General features: G+C 57.9%; 1 protein-coding gene across 4 annotated transcripts in view, besides 1 other annotated feature; it reads left to right on the top strand.

Annotated features, from left to right (window-relative positions):
• The window catches only part of TERT (telomerase reverse transcriptase), a 41,902-nt gene extending 32,086 nt beyond the window's left edge, over positions 1-9,816 (top strand). For all 4 annotated transcript variants that reach the window (NR_149163.3, NR_149162.3, NM_001193376.3 and 1 more), the window contains 5 exons: positions 2,383-2,509; positions 4,324-4,385; positions 7,572-7,696; positions 8,478-8,615; positions 9,152-9,816. Coding sequence is in view for 2 of the 4 variants with exons in the window: in NM_001193376.3 (NP_001180305.1) it covers positions 2,383-2,509; positions 4,324-4,385; positions 7,572-7,696; positions 8,478-8,615; positions 9,152-9,255 (556 nt within the window). In the remaining 2 variants the exon portion in view is untranslated. The remainder of the gene's footprint in view (positions 1-2,382; positions 2,510-4,323; positions 4,386-7,571; positions 7,697-8,477; positions 8,616-9,151) is intronic.
• Positions 9,997-10,655: a promoter, noted in NCBI's record as "MNS16A promoter containing VNTR-302 haplotype". NCBI's record gives the evidence for it as "EXISTENCE:reporter gene assay evidence [ECO:0000049][PMID:14562040]".

Below are 16,108 nucleotides of genomic sequence, written 5' to 3'. Positions count from 1 at the left end.
CTCTCACAGCCTTACCTGGTCCTGGCCTCCACTGGCTTTGTCTGCATGATTTCCACATTTCCTGGGCTCCCAGCACCTCTTCGCCTCTCCCAGGCACCTCTGCAGTGCTGGCCATACCAGTCAGCTGTGAACTGTCCACTGCTTATTTTGCTCCCCATGAAATGTATTTTTTAGGACAGGCACCCCTGGTTCCAGCCTCTGGCACAGCATCAGTGAATGTTATTGAAGGACAAAGGACAGACAAACAAATCAGGAAAATGGGTTCTCTCTAAACACATTGCAAAGCCACAGAGGCTAGTGCAGGATGGGTGGGCATCAGGTCATCAGATGTGGGTCCAATGCCAGAATATTCTGTGCTCCCAAAGGCCACTTGGTCAGAGTGTGTGCTTGCAGAGGTGGCTCTAAAAGCTCAGCAGTGGAGGCAGTGGTTCGCCATACTCAGGGTGAACTCACATCCTCTGTGTCTGAAGTATACAGCAGAGGCTTGAAGGGCATCTGGGAGAAGAAAACAGGCAAAATGATTAAGAAAAGTGAAAAAGGAAAAGTGGTAAGATGGGAATTTTCTTGTCCAGATTTTAGTCTCCCAAACCACAGCTCAGATGGTAGAATGTGGTCAGAACTGATGGACAGAACAATAGAACAAAACGGAAGCCCTATCTCTCAGAAACGTGTGTTAATGTGGTATGTGGCACAGCTGATGGAAAAGAGAGTGTGTGTGTAATTTTTTTTTCTGAGAAAACTGACTGGAAGCAAATAAGTTGTGTCTTTACAGCATATACCAGAGCAGATTCTAGGTAGAAGAGGAGACACATGCAAACAACACCAGCAACAGAAATAAAACAAAAGACTCAAAGGGAAGGGAGGTGAACGTTCCCTGGTTTGGTGTTGGGGAAGGACACACAGGGAGGCGGATGAAACCAGTGAGGCAACGGGCATTGCTTTCACTGCAGAGAAACTCAGCTTGCCTGAGCCACAGTGAAAATGGCCATTCCCTGGAGCGTTTGTGCACGTGATTTATTTAAGGCGCCCTGTGAGGTCCTGCACATTCATCCTCTCACTTTGTTCTCCTAACCACCTGAGAGGTAGAGGAGGAAAGGCTCCAGGGGAGCAGCCGCCCTTGGTCACCCAGCTGGCAAAGGGCATGCATGATTGCAGCCTGGCCTCCTGCTCCGGGGCCCTTGCTCTGCCCGAGGACCCCACACAAGTCAGACCCATAGGCTCAGGGTGAGCCGGAGCCCAAGGTCGTGTTGGGGATGGCTGTGAAAGAAGAAATGGACGTCTGATGCACACTTGGGAAGGTCCTACCAGCAGCGTCAAAGAAATGCATGTGAAACTGACAGCGAGACCCATCCCTCAAAGAAACGCACGTGAAACTGATGGCGAGACCTGTCCCCATCCCTCATGCTGGCTCCTTTTCTGGGCTTGCCAAGAGCCAGCATCAGGTTGAGGCAAGCTGGAAAGACTTTTCTGGAAAGCAGCTTGTTTGCATGGAAGTCCTCACAATGTCCTGTGTCTTCCCAGTAATTCCACTTCTGAAGTGACCAGACATTATCACGGGTCTTATTTACCATTTCCAGTGTTCCAGGCAGGGGGACTTGCCACAGCAAGTCACGAACCTGCCCAAATACAGGGCTAAGGAGATATTATGCATCACAAAACTTGCTCTGCCATTAAACATTTTTCAAAGAATTTTTGAAGAATGTTTAATGGCACAAAACGTTTATTTCAATGTAGCAGTGTTCAAAGCTGGATGTAAAAGAACACACCCCAGGAGCCTGCCGTGGATGTCATGTGTGTTCATCTTTGGACATGGACATACATGGGCAGTGAGTGGTGGTGAGGCCCTGGAGGACATCGGTGGGATGCCTCCATCCTGCCCCTCTGGAGACACCATGTGTGCCACGTGCACTCACTGGAGCCCTGTTTAGCTGGTGCCACCTGGCTCTTCCATCCCTGAGATTCAAACACAGTGAGATTCCCCACGCCCAACTCAGTGTTCTCCCACAAAAAACCTGAGTCACACCTGTGTTCACTCGAGGGACGCCCGGGAGCCAGGGCTCCACAGTTTATTATGTGTTTTTGGCTGAGTTATGTGCAGATCTCATCAGGGCAGATGATGAGTGCACAAACACGGCCGTGCGAGGTTTGGATACACTCAACATCACTAGCCAGGTCCTGGTGGAGTTTGGTCATGCAGAGTCTGGATGGCATGTAGCATTTGGAGTCCATGGAGTGAGCACCCAGCCCCCTCGGGCTGCAGCGCATGCCCCAGGCAGGACAAGGAAGCGGGAGGAAGGCAGGAGGCTCTTTGGAGCAAGCTTTGCAGGAGGGGGCTGGGTGTGGGGCAGGCACCTGTGTCTGACATTCCCCCCTGTGTCTCAGCTATGCCCGGACCTCCATCAGAGCCAGTCTCACCTTCAACCGCGGCTTCAAGGCTGGGAGGAACATGCGTCGCAAACTCTTTGGGGTCTTGCGGCTGAAGTGTCACAGCCTGTTTCTGGATTTGCAGGTGAGCAGGCTGATGGTCAGCACAGAGTTCAGAGTTCAGGAGGTGTGTGCGCAAGTATGTGTGTGTGTGTGTGCGCGCGTGCCTGCAAGGCTGATGGTGACTGGCTGCACGTAAGAGTGCACATGTACGCATATACACGTGAGCACATACATGTGTGCATGTGTGTACATGAAGGCATGGCAGTGTGTGCACAGGTGTGCAAGGGCACAAGTGTGTGCACATGCGAATGCACACCTGACATGCATGTGTGTTCGTGCACAGTCGTGTGGGCATTCACGTGAGGTGCATGCGTGTGGGTGTGCAGTGTGAGTAGCATGTGTGCACATAACATGTATTGAGGGGTCCTCGTGTTCACCCCGCTAGGTCCTCAGCACCAGTGCCACTCCTTACAGGATGAGACGGGGTCCCAGGCCTTGGTGGGCTGAGGCTCTGAAGCTGCAGCCCTGAGGGCATTGTCCCATCTGGGCATCCGCGTCCACTCCCTCTCCTGTGGGCTTCTGTGTCCACTCCCCCTCTCCTGTGGGCGTCCACACCCCCTCTCCTGTGGGCATCCGCATCCACTCCCTCTCCTGTGGGCATCTGTGTCCACTCCCTCTCTCCTGTGGTTGTCCGTGTCCACTCCCCCCTCCTGTGGGCGTCCGCGTCCACTCCCTCTCCTGTGGGCATCTGCATCCACTCCCTCTCTCCTGTGGGCGTCTGTGTCCACTCCCCCTCTCCTGTGGGCATCCGCGTCCACTCCCTCTTCTGTGGGCATCTGCATCCACTCGTCTCTCCTGTGGGCGTCCGTGTCCACTCCCCCTCTCCTGTGGGCATCTGCGTCCACTCCCTCTCTCCTGTGGGCATCCGTGTCCACTCCCCCTCTCCTGTGGGCATCCATGTCCACTCCCTCTCCTGTGGGCATCTGCGTCCACTCCCTCTCCTGTGGGCATCTGCGTCTGCTCCCTCTCTCCTGTGGGCGTCCGTGTCCACTCCCCCCTCCTGTGGGCGTCCGCGTCCACTCCCTCTCCTGTGGGCATCTGCGTCCGCTCCCTCTCTCCTGTGGGCGTCCGTGTCCACTCCCCCCTCCTGTGGGCGTCCGCATCCACTCCCTCTCCTGTGGGCATCTGCGTCTGCTCCCTCTCTCCTGTGGGCGTCCATGTCCACTCCCTCTCCTGTGGGCATCTGCGTCCACTCCCTCTCCTGTGGGCATCCGCGTCCACTCCCTCTCCTGTGGGCATCTGCATCCACTCCATCTCCTGTGGGCATCCACGTCCACTCCCTCTCCTGTGTGCATCTGCATCCACTCCACTCCCCCTCTCCTGTGGGCATCCGCGTCCACTCCCTCTCCTGTGGGCATCTGCATCCACTCCCTCTCTCCTGTGGGCGTCCGTGTCCACTCCCCCTCTCCTGTGGGCATTTACATCCACTCCATTCCCTCTCTCCTGTGGGCGTCTGTGTCCACTCCCCCTCTCCTGTGGGCATTTACATCCACTCCACTCCCTCTCTCCTGTGGGCATCCGCGTCCACTCCCCCTCTCTGTGGGCATCTGCGTCCACCTCCCCTCTCTGTGGGCATTTGCGTCCACTCCCTCTCCTGGTTCCTTCCTGTCTTGGCCGAGCCTCGGGGGCAGGCAGATGACACAGAGTCTTGACTCGCCCAGGGTGGTTCGCAGCTGCCGGGTGAGGGCCAGGCCGGATTTCACTGGGAAGAGGGATAGTTTCTTGTCAAAATGTTCCTCTTTCTTGTTCCATCTGAATGGATGATAAAGCAAAAAGTAAAAACTTAAAATCCCAGAGAGGTTTCTACCGTTTCTCACTCTTTCTTGGCGACTCTAGGTGAACAGCCTCCAGACGGTGTGCACCAACATCTACAAGATCCTCCTGCTGCAGGCGTACAGGTGAGCCGCCACCAAGGGGTGCAGGCCCAGCCTCCAGGGACCCTCCGCGCTCTGCTCACCTCTGACCCGGGGCTTCACCTTGGAACTCCTGGGTTTTAGGGGCAAGGAATGTCTTACGTTTTCAGTGGTGCTGCTGCCTGTGCACAGTTCTGTTCGCGTGGCTCTGTGCAAAGCACCTGTTCTCCATCTCTGGGTAGTGGTAGGAGCCGGTGTGGCCCCAGGTGTCCCCACTGTGCCTGTGCACTGGCCGTGGGACGTCATGGAGGCCATCCCAGGGCAGCAGGGGCATGGGGTAAAGAGATGTTTATGGGGAGTCTTAGCAGAGGAGGCTGGGAAGGTGTCTGAACAGTAGATGGGAGATCAGATGCCCGGAGGATTTGGGGTCTCAGCAAAGAGGGCCGAGGTGGGTGCAGGTGAGGGTCGCTGGCCCCACCCCCGGGAAGGTGCAGCAGAGCTGTGGCTCCCCACACAGCCCGGCCAGCACCTGTGCTCTGGGCATGGCTGTGCTCCTGGAACGTTCCCTGTCCTGGCTGGTCAGGGGGTGCCCCTGCCAAGAATCGACAACTTTATCACAGAGGGAAGGGCCAATCTGTGGAGGCCACAGGGCCAGCTTCTGCCTGGAGTCAGGGCAGGTGGTGGCACAAGCCTCGGGGCTGTACCAAAGGGCAGTCGGGCACCACAGGCCCGGGCCTCCACCTCAACAGGCCTCCCGAGCCACTGGGAGCTGAATGCCAGGAGGCCGAAGCCCTCGCCCCATGAGGGCTGAGAAGGAGTGTGAGCATTTGTGTTACCCAGGGCCGAGGCTGCGCGAATTACCGTGCACACTTGATGTGAAATGAGGTCGTCGTCTATCGTGGAAACCCAGCAAGGGCTCACGGGAGAGTTTTCCATTACAAGGTCGTACCATGAAAATGGTTTTTAACCCGAGTGCTTGCGCCTTCATGCTCTGGCAGGGAGGGCAGAGCCACAGCTGCATGTTACCGCCTTTGCACCAGCTCCAGAGGCTTGGGACCAGGCTGTCTCAGTTCCAGGGTGCGTCCGGCTCAGACCGCCCTCCTCTCTGCCTTCTCTCTCTGCCTCAAATCTTCCCTCGTTTGCATCTCCCTGACGCGTGCCTGGGCCCTCGTGCAAGCTGCTTGACTCCTTTCCGGAAACCCTTGGGGTGTGCTGGATACAGGTGCCACTGAGGACTGGAGGTGTCTGACACTGTGGTTGACCCCAGGGTCCAGCTGGCGTGCTTGGGGCCTCCTTGGGCCATGATGAGGTCAGAGGAGTTTTCCCAGGTGAAAACTCCTGGGAAACTCCCAGGGCCATGTGACCTGCCACCTGCTCCTCCCATATTCAGCTCAGTCTTGTCCTCATTTCCCCACCAGGGTCTCTAGCTCCGAGGAGCTCCCGTAGAGGGCCTGGGCTCAGGGCAGGGCGGCTGAGTTTCCCCACCCATGTGGGGACCCTTGGGTAGTCGCTTGATTGGGTAGCCCTGAGGAGGCCGAGATGCGATGGGCCACGGGCCGTTTCCAAACACAGAGTCAGGCACGTGGAAGGCCCAGGAATCCCCTTCCCTCGAGGCAGGAGTGGGAGAACGGAGAGCTGGGCCCCGATTTCACGGCAGCCAGGCTGCAGTGGGCGAGGCTGTGGTGGTCCACGTGGCGCTGGGGGCGGGGTCTGATTCAAATCCGCTGGGGCTCGGCCTTCCTGGCCCGTGCTGGCCGCGCCTCCACACGGGCTTGGGGTGGACGCCCCGACCTCTAGCAGGTGGCTATTTCTCCCTTTGGAAGAGAGCCCCTCACCCATGCTAGGTGTTTCCCTCCTGGGTCAGGAGCGTGGCCGTGTGGCAACCCCGGGACCTTAGGCTTATTTATTTGTTTAAAAACATTCTGGGCCTGGCTTCCGTTGTTGCTAAATGGGGAAAAGACATCCCACCTCAGCAGAGTTACTGAGAGGCTGAAACCGGGGTGCTGGCTTGACTGGTGTGATCTCAGGTCATTCCAGAAGTGGCTCAGGAAGTCAGTGAGACCAGGTACATGGGGGGCTCAGGCAGTGGGTGAGATGAGGTACACGGGGGGCTCAGGCAGTGGGTGAGGCCAGGTACATGGGGGGCTCAGGCACTGGGTGAGATGAGGTACACGGGGGGCTCAGGCAGAGGGTCAGACCAGGTACACGGGGGCTCTGATCACACGCACATATGAGCACATGTGCACATGTGCTGTTTCATGGTAGCCAGGTCTGTGCACACCTGCCCCAAAGTCCCAGGAAGCTGAGAGGCCAAAGATGGAGGCTGACAGGGCTGGCGCGGTGGCTCACACCTGTAGTCCCAGCACTTTGGGAGGCCGAGGCGAGAGGATCCCTTGAGCCCAGGAGTTTAAGACCAGCCTGAGCAACATAGTAGAACCCCATCTCTATGAAAAATAAAAACAAAAATTAGCTGAGCATGGTGGTGTGCGCCTGTAGTTCCAATACTTGGGAGGCTGAAGTGGGAGGATCACTTGAGCCCAGGAGGTGGAAGCTGCAGTGAGCTGAGATTGCACCACTGTACTGCAGCCTGGGTGACAGAGTGAGAGCCCATCTCAACAACAACAAAGAAGACTGACAAATGCAGTTTCTTGGAAAGAAACATTTAGTAGGAACTTAACCTACACACAGAAGCCAAGTCGGTGTCTCGGTGTCAGTGAGATGAGATGATGGGTCCTCACACCATCACCCCAGACCCAGGGTTTATGCACCACAGGGGCGGGTGGCTCAGAAGGGATGCGCAGGACGTTGATATACGATGACATCAAGGTTGTCTGACGAAGGGCAGGATTCATGATAAGTACCTGCTGGTACACAAGGAACAATGGATAAACTGGAAACCTTAGAGGCCTTCCCGGAACAGGGGCTAATCAGAAGCCAGCATGGGGGGCTGGCATCCAGGATGGAGCTGCTTCAGCCTCCACATGCGTGTTCATACAGATGGTGCACAGAAACGCAGTGTACCTGTGCACACACAGACACGCAGCTACTCGCACACACAAGCACACACACAGACATGCATGCATGCATCCGTGTGTGTGCACCTGTGCCCATGAGGAAACCCATGCATGTGCATTCATGCACGCACACAGGCACCGGTGGGCCCATGCCCACACCCACGAGCACCGTCTGATTAGGAGGCCTTTCCTCTGACGCTGTCCGCCATCCTCTCAGGTTTCACGCATGTGTGCTGCAGCTCCCATTTCATCAGCAAGTTTGGAAGAACCCCACATTTTTCCTGCGCGTCATCTCTGACACGGCCTCCCTCTGCTACTCCATCCTGAAAGCCAAGAACGCAGGTATGTGCAGGTGCCTGGCCTCAGTGGCAGCAGTGCCTGCCTGCTGGTGTTAGTGTGTCAGGAGACTGAGTGAATCTGGGCTTAGGAAGTTCTTACCCCTTTTCGCATCAGGAAGTGGTTTAACCCAACCACTGTCAGGCTCGTCTGCCCGCCCTCTCGTGGGGTGAGCAGAGCACCTGATGGAAGGGACAGGAGCTGTCTGGGAGCTGCCATCCTTCCCACCTTGCTCTGCCTGGGGAAGCGCTGGGGGGCCTGGTCTCTCCTGTTTGCCCCATGGTGGGATTTGGGGGGCCTGGCCTCTCCTGTTTGCCCTGTGGTGGGATTGGGCTGTCTCCCGTCCATGGCACTTAGGGCCCTTGTGCAAACCCAGGCCAAGGGCTTAGGAGGAGGCCAGGCCCAGGCTACCCCACCCCTCTCAGGAGCAGAGGCCGCGTATCACCACGACAGAGCCCCGCGCCGTCCTCTGCTTCCCAGTCACCGTCCTCTGCCCCTGGACACTTTGTCCAGCATCAGGGAGGTTTCTGATCCGTCTGAAATTCAAGCCATGTCGAACCTGCGGTCCTGAGCTTAACAGCTTCTACTTTCTGTTCTTTCTGTGTTGTGGAAATTTCACCTGGAGAAGCCGAAGAAAACATTTCTGTCGTGACTCCTGCGGTGCTTGGGTCGGGACAGCCAGAGATGGAGCCACCCCGCAGACCGTCGGGTGTGGGCAGCTTTCCGGTGTCTCCTGGGAGGGGAGCTGGGCTGGGCCTGTGACTCCTCAGCCTCTGTTTTCCCCCAGGGATGTCGCTGGGGGCCAAGGGCGCCGCCGGCCCTCTGCCCTCCGAGGCCGTGCAGTGGCTGTGCCACCAAGCATTCCTGCTCAAGCTGACTCGACACCGTGTCACCTACGTGCCACTCCTGGGGTCACTCAGGACAGGCAAGTGTGGGTGGAGGCCAGTGCGGGCCCCACCTGCCCAGGGGTCATCCTTGAACGCCCTGTGTGGGGCGAGCAGCCTCAGATGCTGCTGAAGTGCAGACGCCCCCGGGCCTGACCCTGGGGGCCTGGAGCCACGCTGGCAGCCCTATGTGATTAAACGCTGGTGTCCCCAGGCCACGGAGCCTGGCAGGGTCCACAACTTCTTGAACCCCTGCTTCCCATCTCAGGGGCGATGGCTCCCCACGCTTGGGAGCCTTCTGACCCCTGACCTGTGTCCTCTCACAGCCTCTTCCCTGGCTGCTGCCCTGAGCTCCTGGGGTCCTGAGCAAGTTCTCTCCCCGCCCCGCCGCTCCAGCGTCACTGGGCTGCCTGTCTGCTCGCCCCGGTGGAGGGGTGTCTGTCCCTTCACTGAGGTTCCCACCAGCCAGGGCCACGAGGTGCAGGCCCTGCCTGCCCGGCCACCCACACGTCCTAGGAGGGTTGGAGGATGCCACCTCTGGCCTCTTCTGGAACGGAGTCTGATTTTGGCCCCGCAGCCCAGACGCAGCTGAGTCGGAAGCTCCCGGGGACGACGCTGACTGCCCTGGAGGCCGCAGCCAACCCGGCACTGCCCTCAGACTTCAAGACCATCCTGGACTGATGGCCACCCGCCCACAGCCAGGCCGAGAGCAGACACCAGCAGCCCTGTCACGCCGGGCTCTACGTCCCAGGGAGGGAGGGGCGGCCCACACCCAGGCCCGCACCGCTGGGAGTCTGAGGCCTGAGTGAGTGTTTGGCCGAGGCCTGCATGTCCGGCTGAAGGCTGAGTGTCCGGCTGAGGCCTGAGCGAGTGTCCAGCCAAGGGCTGAGTGTCCAGCACACCTGCCGTCTTCACTTCCCCACAGGCTGGCGCTCGGCTCCACCCCAGGGCCAGCTTTTCCTCACCAGGAGCCCGGCTTCCACTCCCCACATAGGAATAGTCCATCCCCAGATTCGCCATTGTTCACCCCTCGCCCTGCCCTCCTTTGCCTTCCACCCCCACCATCCAGGTGGAGACCCTGAGAAGGACCCTGGGAGCTCTGGGAATTTGGAGTGACCAAAGGTGTGCCCTGTACACAGGCGAGGACCCTGCACCTGGATGGGGGTCCCTGTGGGTCAAATTGGGGGGAGGTGCTGTGGGAGTAAAATACTGAATATATGAGTTTTTCAGTTTTGAAAAAAATCTCATGTTTGAATCCTAATGTGCACTGCATAGACACCACTGTATGCAATTACAGAAGCCTGTGAGTGAACGGGGTGGTGGTCAGTGCGGGCCCATGGCCTGGCTGTGCATTTACGGAAGTCTATGAGTGAATGGGGTTGTGGTCAGTGCGGGCCCATGGCCTGGCTGGGCCTGGGAGGTTTCTGATGCTGTGAGGCAGGAGGGGAAGGAGGGTAGGGGATAGACAGTGGGAGCCCCCACCCTGGAAGACATAACAGTAAGTCCAGGCCCGAAGGGCAGCAGGGATGCTGGGGGCCCAGCTTGGGCGGCGGGGATGATGGAGGGCCTGGCCAGGGTGGCAGGGATGATGGGGGCCCCAGCTGGGGTGGCAGGGGTGATGGGGGGGGCTGGTCTGGGTGGCGGGGAAGATGGGGAAGCCTGGCTGGGCCCCCTCCTCCCCTGCCTCCCACCTGCAGCCGTGGATCCGGATGTGCTTCCCTGGTGCACATCCTCTGGGCCATCAGCTTTCATGGAGGTGGGGGGCAGGGGCATGACACCATCCTGTATAAAATCCAGGATTCCTCCTCCTGAACGCCCCAACTCAGGTTGAAAGTCACATTCCGCCTCTGGCCATTCTCTTAAGAGTAGACCAGGATTCTGATCTCTGAAGGGTGGGTAGGGTGGGGCAGTGGAGGGTGTGGACACAGGAGGCTTCAGGGTGGGGCTGGTGATGCTCTCTCATCCTCTTATCATCTCCCAGTCTCATCTCTCATCCTCTTATCATCTCCCAGTCTCATCTGTCTTCCTCTTATCTCCCAGTCTCATCTGTCATCCTCTTACCATCTCCCAGTCTCATCTCTTATCCTCTTATCTCCTAGTCTCATCCAGACTTACCTCCCAGGGCGGGTGCCAGGCTCGCAGTGGAGCTGGACATACGTCCTTCCTCAGGCAGAAGGAACTGGAAGGATTGCAGAGAACAGGAGGGGCGGCTCAGAGGGACGCAGTCTTGGGGTGAAGAAACAGCCCCTCCTCAGAAGTTGGCTTGGGCCACACGAAACCGAGGGCCCTGCGTGAGTGGCTCCAGAGCCTTCCAGCAGGTCCCTGGTGGGGCCTTATGGTATGGCCGGGTCCTACTGAGTGCACCTTGGACAGGGCTTCTGGTTTGAGTGCAGCCCGGACGTGCCTGGTGTCGGGGTGGGGGCTTATGGCCACTGGATATGGCGTCATTTATTGCTGCTGCTTCAGAGAATGTCTGAGTGACCGAGCCTAATGTGTTTATGGTGGGCCCAAGTCCACAGACTGTGTCGTAAATGCACTCTGGTGCCTGGAGCCCCCGTATAGGAGCTGTGAGGAAGGAGGGGCTCTTGGCAGCCGGCCTGGGGGCGCCTTTGCCCTGCAAACTGGAAGGGAGCGGCCCCGGGCGCCGTGGGCGGACGACCTCAGTGGGAGGTTGGACAGAACAGGGCGGGGACTCCCAGGAGCAGAGGCCGCTGCTCAGGCACACCTGGGTTTGAATCACAGACCAACAGGTCAGGCCATTGTTCAGCTATCCATCTTCTACAAAGCTCCAGATTCCTGTTTCTCCGGGTGTTTTTTGTTGAAATTTTACTCAGGATTACTTATATTTTTTGCTAAAGTATTAGACCCTTAAAAAAGGTATTTGCTTTGATATGGCTTAACTCACTAAGCACCTACTTTATTTGTCTGTTTTTATTTATTATTATTATTATTATTAGAGATGGTGTCTACTCTGTCACCCAGGTTGTTAGTGCAGTGGCACAGTCATGGCTCGCTGTAGCCGCAAACCCCCAGGCTCAAGTGATCCTCCGGCCTCAGCTTCCCAGAGTGCTGGGATTACAGGTGTGAGCCACTGCCCTTGCCTGGCACTTTTAAAAACCACTATGTAAGGTCAGGTCCAGTGGCTTCCACACCTGTCATCCCAGTAGTTTGGGAAGCCGAGGCAGAAGGATTGTCTGAGGCCAGGAGTTTGAGACCAGCATGGGTAACATAGGGAGACCCCATCTCTACAAAAAATGCAAAAAGTTATCCGGGCGTGGGGTCCAGCATCTGTAGTCCCAGCTGCTCGGGAGGCTGAGTGGGAGGATCGCTTGAGCCCGGGAGGTCATGGCTGCAGTGAGCTGTGATTGTACCATCGCACTCCAGCCTGGGCAACAGAGTGAGACCCTGTCTCAAAAAAAAAAAAAAAAAAAGAAGGAGAAGGAGAAGAGAAGAAGAAGGAAGAAGGAAAGAGAAGAAGAAGGAAGAAGGAAGAAAGAAGGAGAAGGAGGCCTGCTAGGTGCTAGGTAGACTGTCAAATCTCAGAGCAAAATGAAAATAACAAAGTTTTAAAGGGAAAGAAAAACCCCAGCTCTTTGGACTTCCTTAGGCCTGAACTTCATCTCAAGCAGCTTCCTTCCACAGACAAGCGTGTATGGAGCGAGTGAGTTCAAAGCAGAAAGGGAGGAGAAGCAGGCAAGGGTGGAGGCTGTGGGTGACACCAGCCAGGACCCCTGAAAGGGAGTGGTTGTTTTCCTGCCTCAGCCCCACGCTCCTGCCGGTCCTGCACCTGCTGTAACCGTCGATGTTGGTGCCAGGTGCCCACCTGGGAAGGATGCTGTGCAGGGGGCTTGCCAAACTTTGGTGGGTTTCAGAAGCCCCAGGCACTTGTGGCAGGCACAATTACAGCCCCTCCCCAAAGATGCCCACGTCCTTCTCCTGGAACCTGTGAATGTGTCACCCGCAAGGCAGAGGCTGGTGGAGGCTGCAGGTGGAATCACGGCTGCCAGTCAGCCGATCTTAAGGTCATCCTGGATTATCTGGTGGGCCTGATATGGCCACAAGGGTCCCTAGAAGTGAGAGAGGGAGGCAGGGGAGAGTCAGAGAGGGGACGTGAGAAGGACCACTGGCCACTGCTGGCTTTGAGATGGAGGAGGGGGTCCCCAGCCAAGGAATGGGGGCAGCCGCTCCATGCTGGAAAAGCAAGCAATCCTCCCCGGTCCTGAGGGCACACGGCCCTGCCCACGCCTCGATTTCAGGCCAGTGGGACCTGTTTCAGCTTTCCGGCCTCCAGAGCTGTAAGATGATGCGTTTGTGTTCAGCCACTAAGCTGCAGTGATTCGTCACAGCAGCAAATGGAATAGCAGTACAGGGAAATGAATACAGGGACAGTTCTCAGAGTGACTCTCAGCCCACCCCTGGGGATCCTGTGGGACAGCTCAGGTGGAGTTGCTGCCGAGAGGGAGAAAGGAACAGAGACAGTGGGGCTGCCAGCCTCCCTGCGTGCTGGTCACCTGGGGTCATGATGAAATGTGTGTGCTGGGGCAGCAGGGCTCCTGTGCCCATCCAGCTCCAATGGCCGAGGCCGCTGGCGGAGTCCTCACACTGACGGGCAAGGGATGGAGCCTCTTCACCCTGGATCCAGCTTTGACCAGGGCCCCCGGCGAGTGCAGGTCACCCAGGTTTGTGGAGCCTGGTGTTGGGCACTCCGCTGTGGCCTGCAGGAGGGTCGGACAGGTCTCCAAGGTGCCATCTGGATGCACAGGTTCCATGGTCCCATTTCTGCGGCCCCAGAGAGCGAGCATCACGACAGGCCTGGGCCTCACCTCAGCCTCATGCAGGCATGAAAGAACCGAGTCTTGCCGGAGGGGGCCTGGCTGGCTTTCTCCTCTGACACAGCACGAAGCCCCGGGCTCGCCACCTGGAGTGGTAAGTCCCCAGCCCCCAGTGTGGACGGGAGACTCATGCTCCCTGGCCGTGGCAGCGGGGTCCTCTCTGTCAGGTCCAGGCCCACCCTTGCTGGAAGGGGCTGCTTCCCTTGGAGCTGGGTGGGTGAGTCCTGGGGCAGCTCCAGTGCTGACTGCGCCCTCCATGACCTCCCGCCTCACTTCTCCTTCTGCACTTATGTCCTTCACGCATTCTCCCCTGGTTCTTGGTGACCTCAGACTCTCCCCTGAGGATGAGCCCCATCAGGCTTTTGAAAACTGGGCCCTGAACCTCGTTTTCCCATCAAGTGCTCCCTGACTCCTCTGTGCCTGGCAAAGCAGCCTTGGGGTCACCCTCTGCCAGGAACCCGCTCACGGGACAGCCTGTCCTCATGTGACCACCATGGTCATGGGAGCTGTGTCCATCTCTGGGGCCGGCTGGCCTCATTTGCAGCCGGCTTTATTTCCAGTTCAACACGGTGGCCCCTGGAAGGGGAGAGCCCCTGTGGAGCTACAGATCCTCTATTCCAGCCACTTCTGGTCAGGTGATAGGAGCATTTTGTTCCTGTCCCGACACTGGCCAGTCTGAGACACCCGCCCCTGGAATGTTTTTCCCAAGGGTGAGGGACAAGTTGAAGGTGTTGAGCATGGGGCGTGGCCACGCAGGGTCAGTCCCTCCAGTTCTGCTCTCGCCGCCTGGCCCTTGTCTCCCCCTCCCTCGATGGTGCACGGGTACCTCCACAGCCCATGAGGCCTCAGCCCCTGTCCCTGAACAACCTTGGCAATGTGATGGGACAGACCACCTCTGCCTCCCTTTGTGGCGTCCGTCTGTCCACCTGTCATCACCTATTGGGCCACCTCTGTCCCTCCTCCTTTCTACCCACTTTTATCCATGGCTGCATCAGGCACATGGGTGGTGTGGCATTTTCTGGAGGGCTGAGCGTCCACTGTGTCCTCTGTCCCAGCCCCCCACCCCTTCCCTTTTCGTCAGCTGGACAAGGACTCTGAAGCTTCAGGGTGGGGCTATAGATGCTGCTTCTAGCTCCCCCCATACAGAGTGTTGGGCAGAGCCCCAGCCCTCGTTAGGATGTGCTACACCCAAAAGTCTGATCCAGGGTGGGAGCAGGGGGCACCTGCTCACATCCTAGTTATTTTCTAAGTATGGTATTGACGCAAAATGTAACCTCGGATAAGTCTGAGTGGCTTGTCAGCACCCCTGCTGCCAACAGCTGCCTGTTTTTCTCGTCCGGGTCAACGACAGGACTTGCAGGCCCTATGGTGAGTTGGGGAAGGTGTCCCAAGAGCTGCCTTTGGGGACACACGCCCTTGGCAGTGTTTGCTTCTGAGCAGGTTACTCTACCTTTTGCGTCTGTGAGTTGGTGACACCATGGAACGCAGCTGTTGCTTTGGCTTCTGGAGGCTTTCCTTTGGGGAACCACCCCTCCCTCCACTCCACCCTCCAGGCTCTGTGAGTGGGTGACACCATGGAACGCAGCTGTTGCTTTGGCTGCTGGAGGCTTTCCTTTGGGGAAGCACCCCTCCCTCCACCCCACCCTCCAGGCTCTGCAATCACTTTTCCCTGCAATTTCGTGTCTAGACTCTGAAGGGGGAGCATCTCACCCAGATCATGAACCAAAAGGATTTTGGAATGGTCACAGAGACGCCCTACTTAAAAAAGCTGAACAGTGTGGGGAGAGAGTCCCATGGATCCTGTGAACTCCTGGGTCCAGTAGGGCCTGAAGCCCACCCTGAACTTGGCCAGTTCTGAGAGCTGGTGAAGGCCATTTGGTTTGAGTTTGTTTGTGTCAGTTACAATGGAAGAGGCTGGCTATTAGGCCCAAGGCATGGAGTTGTGGCAAGATTGTGAGGCTGAACTGGGGGATGCCAGACTGTCCTCTGCAGCAGCCTTATCTCACAGTGGACTGACTCGCTTTGTGACATGTTCATCCTCAAGTCCCCCTGCCTTACCACCGGTGTGGGGGGCATCACAACTGCAGGACGGAGGGACGAAGTGCAGCACCCCTCTGCTGTGGGCTTGGGACACGCTTAGGTGGGCAGCTTCCCCTGCCGTGGGCTCGGGACACTCTTAGGTGGGCAGCTTCCCCTGCCGTGGGCTCAGGACACGCTTAGGTGGGCAGCTCCCCCCCTGCCGTGGGCTCGGGACACGCTTAGGTGGGCAGCTTCCCCTGCCGTGGGCTCAGGACACGTTTAGGTGGGCAGCTTCCCCCACTGTGGGCTCAGGATGCGCTTGGGTGGGGTGCACTGGCGTTAACTGCATGTTTAGCACTCAGCTTATCTGCAGGTGGGTAGCGGTGCACGTGCTTTTGTTTACTCTGGGCTGGCCTTGGTCAAGGACGGGTTCCCAACAAGAATGCGTGTAATGGACGCTTGGCACCGCGGCCGCGCCTTGATGCTGGGATTTTTCAGCACCACGGACAGTGCTGCCTGGCCAGGCGCCCTTTTCCAAAGCGGGAGCAGGTGCCTTGGGTCTTCACAGGGCCCCTCCCGGCGGCAGGAAGCCAGGACCTGCGGGGCCTCCCTCCGTGTGGCGAGTCAGAGACCTGATCCCTGGCTCCGTGGTGCTGTTGCAGGGGAAGGAGGAGAGGGAAAAG

The sequence above is a fragment of the Homo sapiens genome, chromosome 5, assembly GCF_000001405.40.
Source record: "Homo sapiens chromosome 5, GRCh38.p14 Primary Assembly".
In the NCBI taxonomy this organism is placed as follows: domain Eukaryota; kingdom Metazoa; phylum Chordata; class Mammalia; order Primates; family Hominidae; genus Homo; species Homo sapiens.
Note: the sequence above shows the minus strand (reverse complement) of the source record. Positions and strands in the feature narration are given on the sequence as shown.